This window comes from Homo sapiens, chromosome 5, assembly GCF_000001405.40.
Source record: "Homo sapiens chromosome 5, GRCh38.p14 Primary Assembly".
Lineage (NCBI taxonomy): Eukaryota > Metazoa > Chordata > Mammalia > Primates > Hominidae > Homo > Homo sapiens.
Window position 1 is genome coordinate 155854496 of NC_000005.10, and position 22798 is coordinate 155877293.

The 22798-nt window shown below is 37.7% G+C and overlaps 1 protein-coding gene across 4 annotated transcripts in view; it reads left to right on the forward strand.

Moving 5' to 3' along the window:
- The window catches only part of SGCD (sarcoglycan delta), a 1039957-nt gene that overhangs the window by 126664 nt on the left and 890495 nt on the right, over positions 1 to 22798 (forward strand). For 2 of the 4 annotated variants that reach the window (XM_047417519.1, XM_047417518.1), the window contains exon 2: positions 15849 to 15929. The exons of the other annotated variants lie outside the window; for them this stretch is intronic. The gene's annotated coding sequence lies outside the window, so the exon portion shown is untranslated. The remainder of the gene's footprint in view (positions 1 to 15848; positions 15930 to 22798) is intronic. 4 annotated transcript variants of the gene reach the window in all.

Consider the following 22798-nt stretch of genomic DNA (forward strand, 5'->3'; position numbering starts at 1 on the left):
ATTTGCCTCGTATCACAGCTTCCTATATCTGATTTAAATTCTCTTGATTACAGGTAGATTATGCTGATTCAACTTGTTGGACCAAATGTTTCTGCTATTAAGAACAAAACAATAAATTATTTCTAGAAGGTAAAAATGTTTGTATTGGACATTTAATAATATTTGAATTGAGACCCAGAATAAAACTCTTGTAGTGTGGAACTTCCAATATTGATGTACCCTTATCTCTTAATAGAAGTATTACATGTCATACAAATCTCACCGTTTTAAATATAGTAATAATAGAAATTATTATAACAGTGGCAGATATTCACCAAGCATTGATTGTACCTGGTAATGTACCAAAGCTTCACTTAAGTCGAGACACTTAGTGCTTACAAGGGCCTCAAAGCAGGTACTACTGTCATTTTATAGAGAGAGAATAAAGAAGCTTTAAAAAAGTCCAACGGCCTACCCAAGTCAACTATTACTCAAGGTGGGTGCCATGACTTGAACCAAGGGTTTCTGATTCTTAAAGATGCCGCTTTCAACTCCTGTGGGATTCTTCCCACCACTTTCGGTTCTTCTCTGTTGCATCTCCTCAGGCTCACCTCTGTAGTGCACTCTGGACCGACCTTTAACTGCCAACATCTGAATCTCTGCCTGAGGGAATTTTTGGTGTTAGGGACTGCCCTGCCCACATTCAGAGCAGGTCAGAAGTTCCAGAAAATCAGCACCCCCCTCGGCAACTCTACTGACTGGTGGGAGTTTTTTAAATACCCCAACTCCTTCAACCCTAAGCTGAGATAACTCTGAAGCTGTTCTACACTGGATTGCAAGATTCTACACCAGCATTGAGCTCCTTTTGCCCATGATGATAGAGAATTTGTTTGATAATATGCCCTTTGTTAACTGCCTTCCGTTTCCTGTTTCATTTACCTACCCCCTTCCAGTGTTTCCTGAATCGCTTCCCAAATAATCTACTTGTAGTGGAATCCTTACCTCAAAGTCAGCTTCTGGAGGAATCCAAACTAAGCTGGTTATTTTTCCAAAATGTGCTTTGATGAAGAACTTGCTTGATATATCATTGATGTTGAACCCATACTAGAGTTCCACATTGATCGGCTAAAAACTTAAAATTTTATATTTTTATAGAGTGGTAGACCAACAGTTCACATATTTTCAGCTAATGTATTACAGTGTATTTCTCATGTTATAAAAATTTACCAGTTTACTACTTGGAGTGAATTTCCGGGTTGAGATTCAGAGAGGACAAAAACAGGTGGAATCAACAGTCTTCTTGAGTTGAGGGGATGGAACTGGGAGTTCAGGGAGGTCAAGTCAGGAGAATTTGCAAAGTACAGGGCAGGAGAGAGCTGCACAGAGAGAGGATAATCCAGAGATTTTTAGCAGGTAAGTACATTAACACACTTGTAACTGTATTCCATATGTTAAGGAAACGATAGGAAAAATTGATTATACTAAGAAATGGAAAAGATCTTATATATATTTTCCCAAACTTGTACAGATGGATATTAAAATGTTGGAAATGAAAAATATAATGAATGAGATTAATGACAGATTAAATGTTGCAGAAGAAACTTTTAATGAACTTGAAAAGGTAGCAATACAAACTATTCAAAATGAAACACAGACAATAGACTGAAGGAATTGAAATAACACACACATACATACATATACATATATACGTACTCTGTATATACACGCACTATACATTCTAAAGCAACCACTAAAATAACACTACCATGAGTTATAGTTAATAAGCCAACACAAGAGATAAAATACAGTAATAAAAACATTGACCCAAAAAATGCAGAAAAAGAGAAAAAGAATAACAAAGAACAGACAGCACAAATGGCAAACAAATAGTAAGATGGCAGATTTAAACTCAGCCATGTTAGTAATCACATTAAATGTAAACTGCCTAAAAACTCTAAAGACATAGACTGTCAGTTTGGATTATTAAAAGTAACCTCTAAGTACATGCTGCCTATTGAAAACCATTTTAAATATACAGACACCGAAAGGACAACTGTTTTGAAAGACACTGTTAAGAAAGTGTGAAAGCAAGCCTCAGAGTGGGAAAAAAATTTTAAATCACAGATCCGATAAAGGATCTGTTTATAGAATATATAAAAATTTCTTAAATTTTAATAAGAAAACAAAACACTTGGAATTTAAAAAATGGGCAAAAGATTTGGACAAACACTTCACCAAAAATATATATGGAAAGCAAATAAGGACGTAAAAGCATGATTAATTTAGTTCTTAGAGAAATGCAAAGGAAAACTACAATGAGATACCATTACACATCTATTAGAGGGGCTAAAGTTAAAAAGAAGAACCATAACAATTATCGGAAAGGATGTGGAGCAACATGACTCTCATACATTGTTGGTGAGAAGATAGTGCAACCACTTCGAAAACAGCTTGGCCATTGTAAAAGAAGTTAAACAGGCCAGGTGCAGTGGCTCACGCCTGTAATCCCAGTACTTTGGGAGACAGAGGCGGGTGGATTACTTGGGGTCCGGAGTTTGAGACAATCCTGGCCAGCATGGTGAAACCCCATCTCTACGAAAAATACAAAAAAAATTAGCCAGGCATCATGGGGCATGCCTGTAATCCCAGCTACTTGGAAGGCTGAGGCAGGAGAATTGCTTGATCCCGGGAAGCAGAGATTGCAGTGAGCCCAGATGGTGCCACTGCACTATGGCCTGGGCGACAGCGCAAGACTCCATCTCATAAATAAATAAATAAATGAAGTTAAACATATATCTGCCATGTAACTCAGTCATTCAACTCCTGTTTACCAAAAGGAGATCAAAATATTTGTCAATATAAAGAGTTCTGTAGCAGCTTACTTTGCTATGGACAAAATTGGAAGCAACTCAAATTCCCATTAGCAGATGAATGGATAAACAGTGTGATCTATCCATGAAATGAAATACTAAGCAGCAATGAAAGGAGTATACTACTGATGTACAGAACAACAAAGATGAATCTCTAAACAATTGTGCTGAATGAAAGGAGCCAGACAAAATAAAAAGTATATATTTGATGATTTCATTTATTAAAAAATAATTCTAGAAACTGCAATTAATAGTACCTGAACACAAGCCACTAGGTCACTGGGAAGTGGGGGTGGGGATGGGTGTAAGGGTAAGAAGGCAGGAAGGATAGATTATAAAGGGGCACAATTAGGGGCACAAAATAGATTATAAAGGGACTTCTTAAAGTCTAATTTATCTTTCTCTTTCTTTTTTTGGTTGTCCTTTTAGTGTCTATATATTTAAATTTGTTTTCAATGGGCAGCATGTACTTAGATGTTACTTTTAATAATCCAAATGGACAGTCTGTATCTTTAGAGTTTTTAGACAGCTTACATTTAATGTGACTACTAACATGGCTGAGTTTAAATCTACCATCTTACTATTTGTTTGCCATTTGTGCTGTCTGTTCTTTGTTATTCTTTTTCTCTTTTTCTGCATTTTTTTGGTTGAATGCTTTTTATTCTATTTTATCTCTTGTGTAGGCTTATTAACTATAACTCGTGGTAGTGATGTTTTAGTGGTTGCTTTAGAATGTATAGCGCGTGTATATACAGTGTAAGTATATATGTATATGTAAGCTATTTCAATTACTTCAGTCTATTGTCTGTGTTTCATTTTGAATAGTTTGTGTTGCTACCTTTTCAAGTTCATTAATAGTTTATTCTACAACATTTAATCTTACATTAATCTCATGCATTATATTTTTTATTTTCAACATTTTGATATCCATCTCTACAAGCTTGTTTGGGTATGGTGGATAGATTCATGATGTTAATGGTGGTGATGGTTTCATGTATACATACATATATCAAGACCTATCAAATTGTACTGATTAAGCATCTGAAGTTATGTCAATTATCACTCAGAAAACTTGTTTTAAATAACATAATTTTGAAGGAATCTGTGCAGAAGCCCTCTAAATTTATATCATCTTTTGTAGTTGTCATATTCACATCAAATTCAAGGATATTGGCTTTATAAACTCATCTTTATTGAGTCTTTACAAAATATCCAACTTAGTTTTCAGCAAATCAACTTTTTTTCACTGTCAAAATACATTGTTTAATGTAATATAATTAAGTTATCTAATTAAGAAAGCAAATGAAAGTGGTGTATGGTGTTTTTGGAACAAACACAATCAATGTGTGATAAAAATCCCAGCTTCTCATTGGAGGAGAAGTTCTGGGTCGATTAGAACCTGATTCAAGGTGTCATCTGCAGGCCAGCAGCATCAGTATCACCTGGGAGCTTCTTAGAATCTCTGACCCTGCTACGGATTAACTGAATCAGGTTCCCTAGGTGAGTCCTATGCACATTAAAGTTTGAGAAATGTTTTCTTTGGGAATAGCCTACTAGCTTTGAGAATTGAATGTGTTATGGTTCTTAGGCAATGCAGGTTTTTTTTTTTCTCTCTCATGGAAATAGAGTTATTCAGTTTCAAGCATCAGTTAAATAGGGCATTGTTTACATATTTTCTACTGTTATAATTTTTATTTTTTCATATCAGGTTTTCTTTTCTTTTCTTTTCCTTTTTGAAACTGGGTCTTGTTTTGCTGCCCAGGCTGGAGTGCAGTGGCATGATCATGGCTCACTGCAGCCGTAACCCCCAGACTCAGGCAATCCTTCCACCTTAGCCTCCTGAGGACTACAGGCATGTGCCACCATGCCTGGCTAATTTTTATTATTATTATTATTGTTATTTGTAGAGATGAGGTCTCACTATGGTGTCTAGGCTGGTCTCAAACTCCTGGGCTCAAGTGATTCTCCCACCTTGGCCTCCCAAAGTGCTGGGATTACAGGCATGAGCCACTGTGCTTGGCTCATATCAGGCTTTCTTGAGGTATGATTTACACACATTAAAATTGACCAATTTTATGTGTACAAGACAATGAGTTTTGATAAATATATAGAATCCTGTAACTATGACTTTTACAGCCAGGATACAAAATATTTCTGTTTCTTCAAAATATTCCCTTTGGCCCCTTTGCAGTCAATCTTTTCCTCTAATCCTTGGCCCTTGCTAGAATTTCATATAAATGGAATTACCTAGTATTTCATCACTTTTTTGTTGTTGTTTTTGTTTTTTCACTTAGCACTTGCTTTTGAGATTCATCCATGCTGTCATCAACAGTTTATGTCTTTTATGGATGCATAGCATTCCATTGTATAGATGTACCTTATAGTTGGTGGTGGAAGGCAGGCCTGAGACTAGTGTTCAGGGAGCCTAGAAATACTCAAATGACCTTATGTGGTACAGAGGCTGCCATGGCTGTGGCCTTAAAAATTGGTGAAGAAGTTGGAAACATGGATTCTAGTGGTTGAATCCTTACCCTCCAAATCCAGGTGATAGTCACACTTCAGAAAAGGGTGCTGACCAGCCCATCCACCCTATCACAGACATTTCCTGACAATCCAGACATTTCCCCGAAAATTTGCAAATCTTCTTGTCCTTTCTATCAGGACATCTCTAGAGGCACAGCCCCTCTCCTGCTGTAAATACAGTGCTCTTTGGAGAGGAAAATGTGGAGGCAGAGAGAGAACAATTTACTTGAATTGCTGAATATTTGCCCAGTGGTCTTCAAATGTTATTGCCTATGGGCAAAACCGTTGTTTTTCTTCTCCCTTCTACCTGTAGGTAGAGATACCTGAGGAAGATCAGGCCAATGACTCAGAACATCACACAAGATAAATTTTGGCATGATTTGTTTCTAATAGAATTTATTTTGGAAGGTTACCTGAAAACTCCAAATGGTCATTTCCTGCTTTTAACTGACAATCCTGACATTTAAACTTTTTTAACCTATTGGTATATTTTATCATTTTAGAAAGGTTGCATCTTGTTTTTATCATTAATTTTAGTTGGGAAACTGAGTCAAACCTCAAGTCAGATTTGACTAAAGTTTTACTTATAGTTACTTTTCCTAAATATTCTCCAGTAGTGATTAGAATTAGCCACTGGACAACCATATCAGAACTAGGAGCTTGATACTAAAACAAGAAGGATGAAAATAATCAAAGAGGATTTGCAAATGATTAAGGTACTGAATTTCAGGTGTGCCTCTGGAAAATTAATTCCCTCTTTTTGCAAGCTGTTGCATCTCATTTTACCAGGTACCTTGCAAAGTATTCTTGATGAGATGCGTGCTTCGTGGGAATCACTCTTTCCCCTGTGTTTGGGTATGCTTACTTGCAGGCTCTCAAGAGATTCACTTAAGATTTTCAACATTTCTGCATTAGATATTTTTAAAGAGAAAAATAAAATCCAGGGAATATAGCTTTTGAAGTGGAAAATCTGAAACAAAAACAATTTGATAACTGTCACAGACAAAGCTGCTAGAGCTCTAAAGTATAATGCAAGGTTTTTATAAACTCCAAGTTGTAGGTTACTCTTTGGCATATAATAAATGAGTTCTGAGCCTAGAAGTGGTTTAATCTGAAAACTTCATTTGAGGAAAAAGCAGAGAATTGGAAGGTATTGAATAGCGTGCGTGCACACACACACATATTTTTCATTGTATATCCACACATGCATATATAGCTCATTTATCACTTGTTCAACAAATATTCACCGAATTCCTACAACGTGCCAAGCCTAGTGTCTGCCCTTTATTGCCTGCCCCACGGTTTAGTGGGGGAAAACTTAAGTAATTAAAACAAGTATTATGATTAGGCTAGTGGCTGGTAGCACAGAAGCATGTATCAGGAGGAAATAGTTTCATTTTGGGGCCAAAGACCCCTCTGAAGAAATGATGTTTCACTATATTATTATTGCACAATGTCTTCATCTTATTTAACTTCCAGCACCTTGCAGAGCTATGCAGAGAGCAGTTCAGGGTGCTGTTTTTTGTTCTTGTGGCATAGAAGTTGCCCATCCTGACTGGACACGGTGGCTCACTCCTGTAATCCCAGTACTTTGGGAGGCCGAGGCGGGCGGATCACAAGGTCACGGTACTAAAAAAAGAAAGAGATCGAGACCATCTTGGCTAACATGGTGAAACCCCGTCTCAACTAAAAATACAAAAATTAGCTGGGTATGGTGGCATGCGCCTGTAGTCCCAGCTACTCAGGAGGTTGAGGCAGGAGAATCTCTTGAACCCAGAAGGTGGAGGTTGCAGTGAGCCAAGATTGTGCCACTGCACTCCAGCCTGGGCGACAGAGCAAAACTCTGTTAAAAAAATAAATAAATAAAAAAGAAAGAAAAAGAAGTTGCCCATCCTCTCTATCTGTGTCTTGGCCTTTCTGGCTTATTTGAAATTCCGTGGGGAAAAGATCTGAGAACTAGAAGATTTTACCGGGAGTGAGGAGGGATCATAATATTGAAGCCATATACGGAACATTCACTTTCTGCCAGCCATCTTGTTTTGTGCTTTACAGAAGAGTCCCATCCTATTACATTTTATGTACTAGCTGCTCTCCCCCATCCTCTCTTAGGAGAAGGAGATAGAGAGAAAGAAGAATGTAAGCAGCGTGGGTGATGCTGCTAGCTGTTCTTCTCAGTGAACCTTGGTCCCAGAGAGATATATCTCAGGAGACTTGACACATGTCTCGTGGCACTTTCACAGTTTGAGCATCTTGCTGAGAACAACTGTGTATGATTTCTAGGATGCAAATGGTGTTTTCACCCTATGTAAGCCTTCACTTTATTTTTTATTTTTGAGACAATATTTATAGTTACTTTTTCTAAATATTTTCCTAAATATTTAATATTTATAGATACTTTTCCTAAATATTATCCTGTAGTAATTATAATTAGCCACTGGATAGCCATATCAGAATTAGGATTTCGGTACTAAAAAAGGAAGATGAAAATAATCAAAGGGTTACCTAGGCTAGAGTGCAGTGGCATGATCATAGCTCACTGCAGCCTTGAACTAAGGCTCAAGAAATCCTCCTGCCTCAGCCTCCTAAGTAGCTCAGACTACAGACATGCACCGCTACACCTGGCTAGTTTTTTATTTTATTTTATTTTTTTGTAGAGACAGAATCTCACTATGTTGTCTAGCTTGCTCTTGAACTGTTGGCCTCAAGTGATCCTCCCACCTCAGCTCCCAAATTGCTAGGTGAGGTAAGCCACTGTGCCCAGCCAGCTTTCACTTTATTAACTAACTTTTGAATGCAGCCTTGCTGTTCATCCTTCATGTACTTGCCTTATCTCAGTTAACGTCCAGCAGTTCTATGAGAATAAGACATGTGTGATTTCCATCTTAAGGGACAGTGGAATGAAACAGAGGTTAAATAACTTGTCCACATACCTTTAAATGACATAGTGAAGATTTACATGCCATGAAGATTTATGTGCCATGTGCTCTATGTGACACTATCTTTCTGGTTTCAGCCATTTATTAAGGAGCCCTGAAGGTTTTGTTTGGAACCCTGACAAAGACTGCTTTAAACACTGTTGGAGAGAGAAAATCCAGAGGGAAGATGTCCATTGATACCATTTTAGGAAATGTTATCAGAGAAGCAGTGCATTCTATCTCTGTTTCAAGAGAAGCTTTGAAAGAAACAGAAAGATAGATATCCATGTATCTTGGAGTGGATGCTTGGGATACTGTGGCTTCACTGAAGGCAGGGCAGCTGAAGCCAGAAGCCAGATAAATTATAACAATCCTGAGCCTGAGTCACTCTCCCAGGGCATGGACGCTCCATCCAGATACAGAGCTGTTGAATAATGGCCGCCCCTGCAGCCTGGCTTCCCACCTGGCTGCAGTTTGAGGCAGCAGGTTCTCATTATGCTTTATTCTTTTTTCAAGAATGTGTTCTTGAAATTGAATTAGATTTGCTTCCTTCATAGCATGTGTTGACTTTTAAATGACTTCCTGGTGGGTTTTCCTCAAGATCTTCAACCACGATGCAGAGGTTCTCAGGGTAAAATGAAGTATCCAACCCAATGAGAAAACAATGTATTATTTCCTTACCTTCAGGTTTAACTGGAAGATGCTGCATTTTGAGCAGTCATGATCTTTATTTCCCCAAATGCTTTTGCTTTCCCTGCTGGGATGGCCTAAGTCAATTACCGTCCTCTGCCTGAAGTATTATTAGTCTTCATTCCCAGAACAAAGAAAATTCATACCATCATCCAGGAAAATTGCCAATCTTCTTGAAACGGTTGCATTTTCCATGGGTACTGAAATGTACTCTCCATGGGAGATTTGGAGATGAAGGTCAGGATTCCCTATAGATGTATCCCAGGGATGTTGCTCAGAAAGATATCTCTTTCCTTTAAGTACTTGAGAAGGAATCTGAATTGGTAATGTTTCTATTGTTTTTCATTTGTTTATTCATTCATTAATACATTCAACAGATATATATTGACCATCTGCTGTGTGCCACGCACATAATAGAAAAAACAGACAAGGACCCTACTGTCATGGAAACTGCATTTCAGTAGGGGGGACAGACAAATAAACAATCAAATAGGAAGTACATTAGATAGTGGTAACTGCTAAGGAGAGGAGGAATGGGAGTGGGAGGCTGGTTGTTTGTGTGTGTAGGGCCATGTGGGCTGCCCAAGGGATAATGACAATTTAGATGGGTTTCCTGGGAAAGACTTTCTCCTAATAGTTGAAAGAACTGAGGGATTTCTGGGGGAAGGTTTTCCAGCAATGAAAATAAGTACAAAAGGTCTGGTGTGTCAGGAGAATAGCATGGAAAATCAGGTGGCCAAAGCAAAGTGACCAGACCAGGAGGGAGCGCAGTAGGCGGTTAGTTCAGAGAGGTGATGGAGTGATGTATGATGGTTAAGTAAGGATATTGGCTGTACTCAGAGCTAGCCACAAAGATAGGGGAATTTTGAGCAGAGAAGAGGCATAATTTCATTGTGTTTATCAGGAAGGCTGTGGCTACTGAACTGAAAATGAGCCAAAGGGTGACATCGGTGGAGGCGGGGAGGTTGTTTAGGATATAGGTGAAATAATCCAGGCAAGAGATGGTATTGGCCTGGATTAATTAAATTAAAAAAAAAGGAGGGCTAGGTTATTGAAATGATTTAAAGTTGTTTTAATGTTAACTGAAAATGATTCTATATTTGAGATTTACTGTTGCAATCTTGACAGCTGAAGTTTTCACAAATAGAATTTGTATACAGATTTTACTACATGAAGTATTAATTAAGCACCTACTAAATACCCAGCTAAATGGTGGTATTCCAGAAAGACTGTGGAACAAGTCACTGTAATCTCACTGGATAAACTACAAAAACAACATTTGCATGTGTGCGTACACATTCTAGTTTAGAAAATATATGAGCTGATCAGATATTTTCGGTACAGATTATGCTTAAATGCTTATCTTAGGAAAAATAGGAACCCATCTTTTAGTACAGATTATGCTTAAATGCTTGTAAGAAACTAATATTTATTGAACACCCACTAGCTACCAGGATCTATGCTGGGCATTTTACATAAGGAAGCACATTTAACCTTCAAAACAACTCTGTAACAACAATTATCGAAATTCTTGGTTTCAGGAACCCTTTAGACTTTTAAAACCTATTGAGGACCCCAAAGAACTTTTATTTATGTGGGTTATACATAGCCATAGATAGATAGATAGATAGATAGATAGATAGATAGATAGATAGATAGATATTTACTGTTTTAAGAATTAAAACTAAAACATTTAAAAATTGATGGATTCATTTAAAATAACAATAATTAACCCATAACCCATAACATAAAATATATGTTAACAAAGTATATTTTATAAAAATACTATAATTTATACATTTTTTTAAATGTGGAAAGAGCAGCATTGTTTTAATATTTTTTACAAATCTCTAACATCTGACTTAGAAAATATCTAGATTCTTGTATCTACTTCAACTTTCAATTTATTGTGATATGTTGTTTTGGTTGAAGTATATGAAGAAAATCTGGTCTCATATAGGTATGTAGTGGAAAGGGAATGGGCATTTTAATATCCTTTGCAGATAATTGTGAATGTTGTCTTTTGATATTAAGTTAAAACCAAAAATGTAGAAGTTTCTGAAAAGTTAGTTGCATTGTGGAATCTGAGATATATTCATTTTTTACTCTATTAACTTGAAATCCATTGATTGTCTTGCATGTTGCCTATGCTTAAGGTTGTAACATTACACATTGGTCATTTGGAAAATGCTGGCTCACTGAATTATGTAGCTCTCCAAATGCTGACACATTTCATTATATAATATATGTTTTAAAAGTCACATGTGTTACTATCAACACTAATCTCATCAGAAAAGCCTTTACATATTAGGAAGCTGTCAAGTTGCTCACATTGGCAGATGTAAGTTTTTCAAAATTCCAATTTTCACTTAATATATCAAATTTTATCCTTGGCAACAAATGCTGTCAGTTGCTATCATTGAAATGACAGTTTCTCTTCTTTCATTTTCAAGAAAATGTTTACCAAATACCCAGGTCCCAATAATCATAGTTTATCTCAGTCATTATTTCAGGTAAAATTGGTACCTTTTGAAAAAGGTCAATAGTTCAGCTCACAACTCAAACAGTTGCACAAACAGTTTTTCTTGAGGCGGCTGTTATACTTCAGTGAGCAGCAGAAGTACTTTATGTATACCACCCATTTTATCACAGAGAGTATTAAAAAGATTAGCACTGAAGGGTCAGGATTTAATATGATTAATCATTTTTACTCCTTCATTCAGCACAAATGAATATTCCCCCTCCCTCCATCTCTTTTCTCTACCTCTCTCTCTTTCTCTCTCACTACAAGCACTAAGTGGTGAAGAATACAATGATCCCTAGTATAGTTGGGTGCCACTGCCTGGATTCAGGCTGAGGTGTCAGCAGTTTTATCCGCCATTGTTTTTGCACCATCAATGCAAATGCCAAGACAGTGACAAAGCCAAACAATACCTTAGTGTTATTATAAAAATGGTTTTGTTGTTCCAGACTCCCTGATAAAATCTGAAGATATTCCTCCCCATTCCTGCTCCATAGACCTGTAGACCACACTTTGAGAACTGCTGCTGTATGTAATATGTGTTTTACAAATGAAGAAACTGAATCTTAGCAATTATCATTATTCCTATTACTATGGCTCTGTAATGACTACAGCTACAACTGCTGCTGCTGCTAGTACTACGAAGGGGCACCTTCTGCCTCTTAAATCATTGCTCTTTCTCCTACACTGGTTCTTCTTCATTCCATCCTAACAGCAGGGATCTTCCACTGAATCTAAGCAACTTGTGTAAGGTCACATGGCTTGTCAGGAAAAAGACAGGACTCTAACTCAGGCCTGTCTGACCCAAAGTTTGTCTGGAAACTTGGTCTCCCCTCCTCCCCTCCCTTTCCTTACACACACGCATGCGTACACAATGGTAGACTTTATGGAGAACTTTGGAGAAAGTGTAAACTTGATTATTCAAAAGGACATAAGGATCTGGGTGAGAAGAATAAAATAAGCTCAACTGTGAGGACTTAAATGAACATGATTTATGGGGCAAATAAATAAAGAAAAGACTCAGAATGAAGTGGAGTCTCCATTTGGCCGTTTCTAGAGAAAATGATGGAGAGGAAAGGTGGGTGAGTTGATGTCAAAGTGAAGAGTCTGGCCTTGATTCAAAAGCAAATAGTTTTAGGCTTTTAAACAGATCACAAGATGATGAAATTTACATTAAACTGACATTGGTAGTGAATGCATCACCAAAGTAAAGAGAACAGGGCCCGAGAAAATCTTGATCATTCAGCAAGCAGTAATGGCTTAAGCCAGAGTGAAAGGAGAGAAGAATCAGAAAAATACGGCAAAGATAAAGCACTGAAAGTGTGGTAATTGGTGATGGGGAAATGCAAAAGAAAATGATACTGAAGGACTCCCAGCTTTCATGTGTGAGGCTCCAAGGGAGATATGGTATCTCACAGAGACTGATGATATCTGGAGGAGACTATGCTGTTGACAATGGTGAACTGGTGGTGATGTCAACCTAGCCAAATGAAATGGAGGTGTTCTAAAAACAATTCACATGTGGCATTGAACGGCAGTTATAGTAGATGCAAAGATGCATTCCCTGAGAGTGGGTGGCTGAGGGCTTATCATGGAAGATCCCTGCTGTTAGGATGGAATGAAGAAGAACCAGTGTAGGAGAAAGAGGAATGATTTAAGAGCCAGAAGATGCCCCTTCATAATACTAGCAGCAGCAGCAGTTGTAGCTGTAGTCATTACAGAGCCATAGTAATAAGAATAATGATAATGGCTAACACTTAGTGAGATGTTATTCTCTAGGCTTGACATACAATAGATTTTGAATTCTCAGAACAATTTTATGAGTGAGAACAGGTTTCTGTTTTTGAGATGAAGAAAAGATGACTTAGAAACATTAAGTAATTGGTCTAAGGTCATACAGTTAGGAAGTGGCTGAGTCAGTCCTGGATCCCCAGTCTCTCTGACTCCAGCACCACTCCTCCATCTTAATGCAGCCTTAGGGAAACCAAGGAGTGGAAAATGTTCAAAAAGGGCTGTGTAAAATTCACAAGTTAAGTTGCAGAGTATGAGAACTGAAGATGATCTTTTTTTTTTTTCGAGATGGAGTCTTGCTCTGTCGCCCAGGCTGTAGTGCAGTGGTGCGATCATGACTCACTACAACCTCTGCCTCCCAGGCTCAAGCAATTCTTAGGCCTCAGCCTCCCAAGTAGCTGGGATTACAGGCATGTACCATCATGCCTGGCTAATTTTTGTATTTTTACTAGAGACAGGGTCTTGCCATGTTGCCCAGGTTGGTCTCAAGCTCCTGGCCTCAAGTGATCCACCCACTTCAGCCTCCAAAAGTGCTGGGATTACAGGCATGAGCTACTGTATCCAGCCCTTTTTTTCTTTTTTTTTTTTTTTTTTTTTTAGATGAGATCTCACTATGTTGACCAGGGTGCCAGACTGGTCTAGAACTCCTGGCCTCAAGCAATCCTCTTGCCTCAGACTCTGAAACTGTGAGGCTTACAGGTTTGAACCACTGTGCCTGACTAGGAAGACCATTTTAGTAGGGCCAAATAAACTGGTGCCTCATGTGAGGTCTCAGTAAGTAGATGATAGAAGCAGTTGGCAAGAAATGATGACCGTGCCTAAGGAAATGAAGGGATCTAGCAAAACCAGTCTGTATATGGGAGAGATTTGTGAGTAAAAGAAAAAAACAAAAATGGCTTAAAGTAGATATGGGTTAATAACTGGAGTGATTTAAATTTTAGTTGAAAAGAGGCTTAAGTTAGCTGAAATGGATAAGAATGATGTCAGGTGACAAAAAATGAATTTTCATGTTGGTTTGATGAGTGGTGAATATGGGAGAAGCAGGTCAGGGAAAATAGGATTCAGAGTGCAGATAGAGGAAGCAACTTCAGCTTTAAGTAGTGGCCCTTCCCTGAAATAGCAAGAAATGTGAACAGTAATTATTATAGAGACTATTATTTAGAATTTGCTAAAATCAATAGAAAAGTGGCTGGGAATTCTAGGCTAGTGGTCTCAGTGAATTAAAGAAAGATTAGGATTATCTCTTGTCATGAGGCTAAAAACTCAGCTTGAAAATCTCAGGGTTGGAGGAGGCTTCAGATGTCAATAATTAGGTTATGTGACTATATTATGATGGATTATTCCATCATATACTTTCAAGGGATCAGCCATTTAATAGACATGAATTTCATCTCCCTTTCTTGTCTTTTCTTTATTTACTAGAAGCAACCCTACTTGAAGGCAGGAGCCCTGCTTGTTGTTTCTGGGCACTATTCGGTGCCCACAACCTAGCCAATTGCCTGATATTTAGCAAAGGTTCAAAGATATTGTTGTATGAATTAATGAATATACTTCAACTCAGTCATTTGATGTTAACTTTCTTTTTATGCTAACTCTACTCTCTCCTCACAATTGTATAAATGATTTTTTTTCTTTGCAACTTGTAAAATGATTTTCATCTTTTTCAGTCATTATAATGACCCTGTGAGTTAGGAACATTGTTATTATACCCATTTTATAGATGTGGATACTGACTCCCTCACCCAAGGTTATAGCACAGTGTAGTTGTTTAGAGCCTGGGCGTTGCCATCAGATAAACCATTCTGAACCCCAGGTCTGTCACGTACATGGCACATTATTAAGCTGTCTTCCTTTGGCAGATTTTTTTTTTTTTTTAAATTTCACCTAGCCTCGGTGTTCTCATCTGTACAAAAGAGATATGAAACTGTCCTGCGGGCCGGGCATGGTGGCTCATGCCTGTAATCCCAGAACTTTGAGAGGCCAAGGTGGGCGGATCACGAGGTCAAGAGATCGAGACCAGCCTGACCAACATGGTGAAACCCTGTCTCTACTAAAAATACAAAAATTAGCTGGATGTGGCGGTGCATGCCTGTAGTCCCAGTGACTCAGGAGGCTGAGGCAGGAGAATCGCTTGAACCCGGGAGGCAGAGGTTCAAGCTGAGATCAAGATCGCACTACTGCACTCCTGGGCAAGGCAGAGCGAGACTCCGTCTCAACAACAACAACAACAACAACAACAACAAAAAGGGAACCGTCTTGCATGATGAGTGAAAAGATTAAGTAACATAGTGGCTATAAACTACATAACACAAAGCTGAGCATGAAATATGAACTCAGGCAGTGTGATATACTGGTGAGAGCACAGACTCTGGAGCCAGAGGGCCTGGATTTGAACCCCTAATTGCTGCAGTGTGATCTTGGACAAGTCACTAATTTTTCTGTGTCTCAATTTCCTCAACTGTAAAATATGAGTAATAATGAAGATTAAATGAGTTAATACTTGTAAAATGCTTAGAACATGCCTGGTACATATTAAGTACTATGTGTGTTTGTTCATAGGTGATATCTATTGAAGCTGGGAGGGTCACAGTATCAGTGAGTGGTCCCCCAATTTCTTCTTGAGCATCGATGAATTAGCAGGTAACTCTCCAAATTTTACTTACATTATTTACTGTTGCCTTATCTTTTATCATATGCTTTTAAGGGATCTGCTAGTTAATAAACATGGCTTGCGTTTCCTTTTATTTCTTTTTTTTCTTTGTTTGCCAGAAGGAGCCTCAAAGTGTCTAGTGATTGGCAGAAAAATAGAAGAATCAAAGATTTTAATATTCTGATGATTGTATTCTCTGCCTCATTCTTAAAAATGAACTATTTTTCCTGAATACCAACTCTTTAGACTCCTCTTCTACCTGCCCCCACAATTCTCAATATTTAGAAACCTGCTCCCATGTCAAAAACCAAAACCAAAAGTGATTTCTGTGTAGACATGTGAAAACATCCTACTGAAATGCTCTCAGGTTAACGTCTTTTTGCAGGTGACCCTTGCTCCGTCTCTGTGGGTTTGACTTACGGGTCACAACACGCGATCGTTATTTCAGCTTATCACTCTCAACAGAATGAATAGAGTCCATTTTCACAATTGTTACTTTCAAAGCAAATTACTCAAGATGAAAATCTTTGCAGGGTCGGAAAGTACATAAATATTCTTAGCAGGGAATAAAGGTGGGGGTGATGAGTGTATCATATGATTGATTTCGGTTTTTTTTTGCAACTTTTCTGTAGAGAGACTTGGATTGCAAGAGGAAGGTTTGGAGTCAGAGAGAGGACCCAACAGAGGCATTTGTTGTGAAAATCTCACTATATAGTATTAGAGGCTGTTCATGCTAATCAAGGTGATATAACCTCCTTGATATTTGGGGCCTCAGTTTACAGAATAATAACATTTTTGGATCAAAAGGATTTTAATGTAATGGGTCATCCTGTGTTGAAGAGACGGTACATTGTTAAAGACCACTACCAAAACTGCAGGTTTCCACAGGCACTCCCAGAATGTGGCCCAATAAATTGAGGGTCTGCAAATCTTCAAGATTTGCGACCTCTCTGCCGAAGTCCTTATTTAATTCAGAGAAACTTTATTAGAGATTTGTGACATACCAGACCTTATGCCAGGTAGTAAGATGAATGGAAAGATGGTAAGAAAAGCCTGGATAGGGATTTCTGTCTGCCTAGGGAGCCAGGTAAGTGAACACTTGTCATTGTTCACTGGACTGTAGGCCAGTGCTAGGGAGCAAAATGTCCTGGGACTGCAACAGGGAAGGTAAAAAGAGGAGGAATTGCTACTTTTTGAGCATCAGTGGTGTAGCAGGCACTGTGTTATGGAGGGGAGACTGAAAGGAGGACAGAAATGTGAGGGAATTGAGCATTGGGTAGGTAAATAAGTTATGATGGAAAATTCCCATCTGGAAGTGAACACGTTTAAGGAATGGCTGGTGACAGGAGGTTTGCCAGTGAAGGCTGGAGGTGAAGCTGACAAGAGTTAGGTCATTATTCTGCCAACAGGTGGCAACCATCCAAGGCTTAAACACAGAAGAAATACATCGTTAGATTTGTGACATAAAAAGATAGAGAAGCATGGAGGATGAGTTGGAGAGGAGAAGCTCAAGAGGTAGAAAGTCCAGTTAGAATGGGACTGTTTGCCAAGGCAAGAAATAATGTGAGCCAGGCAGTTGTGTTCAAGGGCAGCAAACATTTGATTGAAGCAACAGGACTTGTTAATGGATTCATGGCAGCTACTGAGAAAGGTGGAGGGCTGTCTGCCTTTCCCAGCACCAACAGCTTTGTGCACCTGATGGTGCAGTTTCTTAAGAGAGAAGAAGAGGAAATTAATGAGTTACCCTTTCCTAGGTGAGTAATGCCTGCGACAGCTTTAGTTTCCATCCATACAAAGAGAATAAGAATATCTACAGTCAGAGAGGTTGTGAGGATTAAATAAAATAATATGTGAAATCAATGTGAAACAATGCTCAGGACACAATGCCTTGCAATTCAAGTGTTGTCTTCTCTTCAGCACACACACACACACACACACACACACACACACACTCTCATGGAAAACTCTATAGCCTATTGAAATTTTTGAAATCGTGCCCCGACATTAAATAATATTTTAATGTGAGAAACTTACTTTTAAAAATCCAATAACATTGCTGTTAAAGAGACAGCCAACAGCCAAGTGACTTTGAATAGAATTCTTTCCCAGAATTGTAGGTGAAAGTTAAAGGATGCTATGCTTTTGTAAGGAAATGGTAATGTACACTGTGTACATTTCTTTTGCCATCTATTGAATAGCTTGGCTATCCTCCTGTTTGCCCTAAATTTTTTATTAAGTACTTCACTGAGAACCATAGAATGTCAGATGCTGTACCAAGGGAATTAACTGACATAGCTGTGAAATACTTTTCCTGGTCTGTTAGTAGACTGCCATTAAAATTGAAAACATGACTGGTCTGGTGTGAGCAAGATTTACGTGTATAACATAGTCATAGTCTGGGAAAATGTCGGGATCCAGCATTCGTTGTTAGTTGAAGTGTTTTTATAATCAGAAAACAAACCTATAGCAAAACTTCGTGTGTTAAAAAAATGTTGTGTAAAGGGCTAGGGCATCTTTCTCAAAACAAACTGGATATCCTCTTCACAGAAGCTAGTCTGGGCAGATCTCCAAGAACTTGCAGCTTCATCAGAGCCTTGTCATTACCCTGGACAAAGGCACAATGTAGTTATTGCCCCTTCAGGTACCTGATCAAGGCTACAGTGCCCCAAGGGCATCTTCTGTAGTTTCAAGCATTCTAGGGTGATCCCTCCCTCCCCAGTAGAATCCTGAGCCTCATTTGGTAGGTGTCCAAGCCAGTTACCACCATTCCAGCATGACTTTAGTTAGCCACAACACACACATAATTTTTATATTTCAGTAAGAATATCCTTCTTTTAAAGTATACATTTTTTAAAAAAAAGTTAAAAAACTAACATGCAGCCACTTGAATGGAACTATCTTAAGTGGAATAACTCAGGAACAGAAAACCTAAATACTGCATTGTCTTAAGTGAAATAACTCATTATCTTAAGTGAAGTAACTCAGAAACAGAAAGTCCAAATACTGCATGTTCTCACTTATAAATGTCAGATAAATAATGTGTACACATGGACACAGAAAGTGGAATAATAGACATGTAGACTTGGAAGGGTGCCAGGGTGGTGCCGGAGGGACGAGAAATTATAATACTTAATGGATACAATGCACACTATTCAGGTGATGGCTGCACTCAAAGCCTAGACTTCCCAACTTCACAGTGTATCCACGTAACCAAACTGCCCTTGTGCTTCCTAAATCTATTACTTTTTAAAAAGAAAAAGTCATTACCAAAAGAACACATACATAATTTTTATATTTCAGTAAGAGGATATCTCTCAAAAAGTTAAAAAAGCATACCACTTTGCAGTTATAATTTTATGACTCACCAGGGGGAAAAGTACTTCTAAAAGGAAGGCAGAAAACAACTTATCCAAAATTTTAAATTATTTAGTCTTCAGTTTTAAATACCATCTCAGAAGATTTAATATGACATCTATTTTTAATCTTTAAAATCTTCCTTCTTTTCAGCCAGGATCAATTTTTATATAGCCCTGACACACTACAGGGAAACAGTTCACTATCCCATAGACTTCTTTGAACATTTACACCATTGCTCATATCAACAGGGGGCTTCTTAGAATTCAGCAGCAATTTTTATGACCATACATGTTTTATACAATGTTGCACTTTTTCCCCCTTCTTTTTCTGTGTAAATTTTTCAAAAGAAGGGGATAGGAGAATTCCTCATCCTATTAAAAAAATGAAGATCACCTTCTGGCCTAACTCTATTACAGAGAACAAGTTTTCAGGTGATATGAAAGAAAGGAAAGAGCTTTTTTTACAACTTACCATGGTATGAGTACAGACATGTATTAAAAATAACAGCAGCAACAACAGAAACAAATGGATTTCTAGAAACTGTTTGAAGAAAAAAATAGGAGAAATATCTTAGTAATTTTGACTTTGTCAAAGACTTTAAAATATGACAAAAAGAACACAAAAGTATAAAGGAAGAAGTCATTTTTGCTCTTCTAAAAGCCTCGGTTAAAAAAATGAAGTCAGTGCACAGAAGAGGAGAAAACATTTGCAAAGCATATATAAACAAATAACTTGTATCCAGGCTATATTAAAAAAGAGAACAATTTTTGTAACTCAAAAAGAGAAGCAACCCAATGAAAATGGGGCAAAGATTTTTACAGACATTTCACCTAGGAACATGAACGTGAATGGAAAATGAGAAAAGATGCTCAATGTCATTAGTCACCGGGGGAGATGCACGTTTAAACCACAAGGAGATACCAACACATACCCCTAGAAAGGCCAAAATTAAATAAAGAAACTGAAAATACCAGGTATTGGTGAGTATGTGGAGCAAATGGAAGTCTCACTCACTACTAGTGACAATACAAAATGCTACCACTGCTTTGGAAAACAGTTTAACAGTTTTCGAAGAAGTTAAACTTAAAATCACTTATTATCCAACCATTGTCCTCCTAGGTATTTAGCCAAGAGTAAAGAAAGCGTATGTCCACATAAAAGAACTGTAGATGAATATTCACTGCAGCTTTATTTGTAATAGCCAAAACTGGGAAAAAAAATGGCCGGCAACAGATGAATGGATAAACAAATTGTGATATAGTCACACAATGGAAAACTGCTTGGCACTAAAGCAAACTATTGATGCAAGCAATAGCATGGAGGAATTTCAAAATGATGCTGAGTGAAAGAAACCAGACAAAAAGTAAATACGTATTGTATAAGCCCATTTATATAGAATCTCAGAAAATGCAAGCTAACCCATAGTAACATGTCATGTCAGTGGTTGCCTAGGTTGGAAGGAGGTACAAGTAAACTCTTAGGTCTGATGGATATGTTCATCATCCTCCTTGTAGAATTAATTAAGTAATTCCATAGGTAGAATTAATTCCATAGGTCAAAACTTCTAAAACTATACTTGTTAAATATATGCAGTTTCACATATGTCAGTTATAGCTCAACAAATATTTTAATAATAGCATAAATGAAGATGATAGACATGAATACTTTGCAGAGCATTTTATTTGGGGAACTTACATCAAACTCAGCAACCTGGCACATCTGCTGTTAAGGACTCATGTAAAACTTGTGATGTTTCTCTAGGTCTTCATCGGCCTTGCACGAAGCTGTGACAATTTAAAGGCATTTCAATTTATTATTTTTAGATAGAATTCACATTTTCAAGATGGCTCCACTTTTTTTTTTTTTTTAGTTGTTATGGTATTTTTACCCCCTCTTTATAGCCTTAATAGTAACTGCCTGGGTCAGAGGCAAAAGCATCTGACATTCCTGTGACAGTTCTGCCATGTTCTTTTGAGGAGCGAGTGAAATCTCCTGATACCCACTGCTGTGAGCAATACTTCTGTTGTACAGGTATAATGATGACACCTTTTGGAGGACCTGCTAGAGTTGTAGAATTGTAGCTTTGTAACAGTGCATATCATTGTGATATTTCGAGGACTGATGAGCAAATAAAAATTGAAGACATACCTAACACCCTGTGCAAATTGGGTCTGTTCATCTCCACTGTACCCTTAGCCTTCAGCTTAATTTTCAAAGTTGTTTTTTTTTTTCTTGGTCCTCTTGTTTTATTTTTTTATTTATTTTTTTTTATTATACTTTAAGTTTTAGGGTACATGTGCACATTGTGCAGGTTAGTTACATATGTATACATGTGCCATGCTGGTGCGCTGCACCCACTAACTCATCATCTAGCATTAGGTATATCTCCCAATGCTATCCCTCCCCCCTCCCCCCACCCCACCACAGTCCCCAGAGTGTGATATTCCCCTTCCTGTGTCCATGTGATCTCATTGTTCAAAGTTGTTTTGAAGCTTACGTAGATAAGAGCCTTCTTTATCTCCACCTATATTTGAAATAACATCAATACAAGAATATCTGTATATCTTTCCATTTTGGAACAGTAAGACACTTTTTAAAAATAAAAAATAAATGCAAAACACATTGCAAAGCACCACATGAATGGAAGTGGTTGTGTTATATTTATAAGAAATTTACCTTCCTTCTAAAGTGCCTCAAATCAACACTTTGTGGGAAGGAGAATGTTGGAATTTAATGTGAAAAATAATGCACTTCGTAGGCCAAACCTTTTGACCTTAGAAGCAAATACTGTATTTGTAAGGGTTATAGTGTCTTCATCTAAAGCTTAGCTGCGTTTCTTCCTTGATATTCTCTATTTGTGATCATCTAAGTCCATGCCCAAATGCCCCTCTCTATCATAGTGTTTGTCTATGTAGGTTTACTTAGGGCATTAAAATGGCATTTCGTTACTTGATTGTTAGCCAAGTGACAAATAAGAAACTATGAAAAATATTTTAAAGCATTCTAGGTACAAGGATATTCTGCCTTTATTTTATGACCTTCACTGTGCTTCAATGAGAAGATGTATTTCTACATGACAATCATGTGAAAATATTAGGTTTAAAATATACTAATTAGAAAGGCTGATAAGAACATGGCACAGTAGAAACCAACTGATAAATACTCATTTTTATGCCCACTATATCCTCAGCATTTTGGAATACATTCCCTATCTTCAAGGAACTTATGGTTGTACTGACATGCTGAGAAACCTTTTAAACATCAGCTATCTTTTATATGTGAAAGATCTACTGAAGTCTTATGGGCCTTAAAAAAATTAAAGCCCAGAGGATTTCTAAAAATGCAAATGCTACAAGAAGAGGGTGGTAGCTGTTTGTGCTAGGATTAAATTCAGTCCAACTGTGTCTTTAATTAGAAATGTTTCCAAATCATACCGAAATGGCCACATCCGTAAGCCCAGGTTTTAAGATGACGGTTTAGACTGAATTCCCAGGCATGGTCG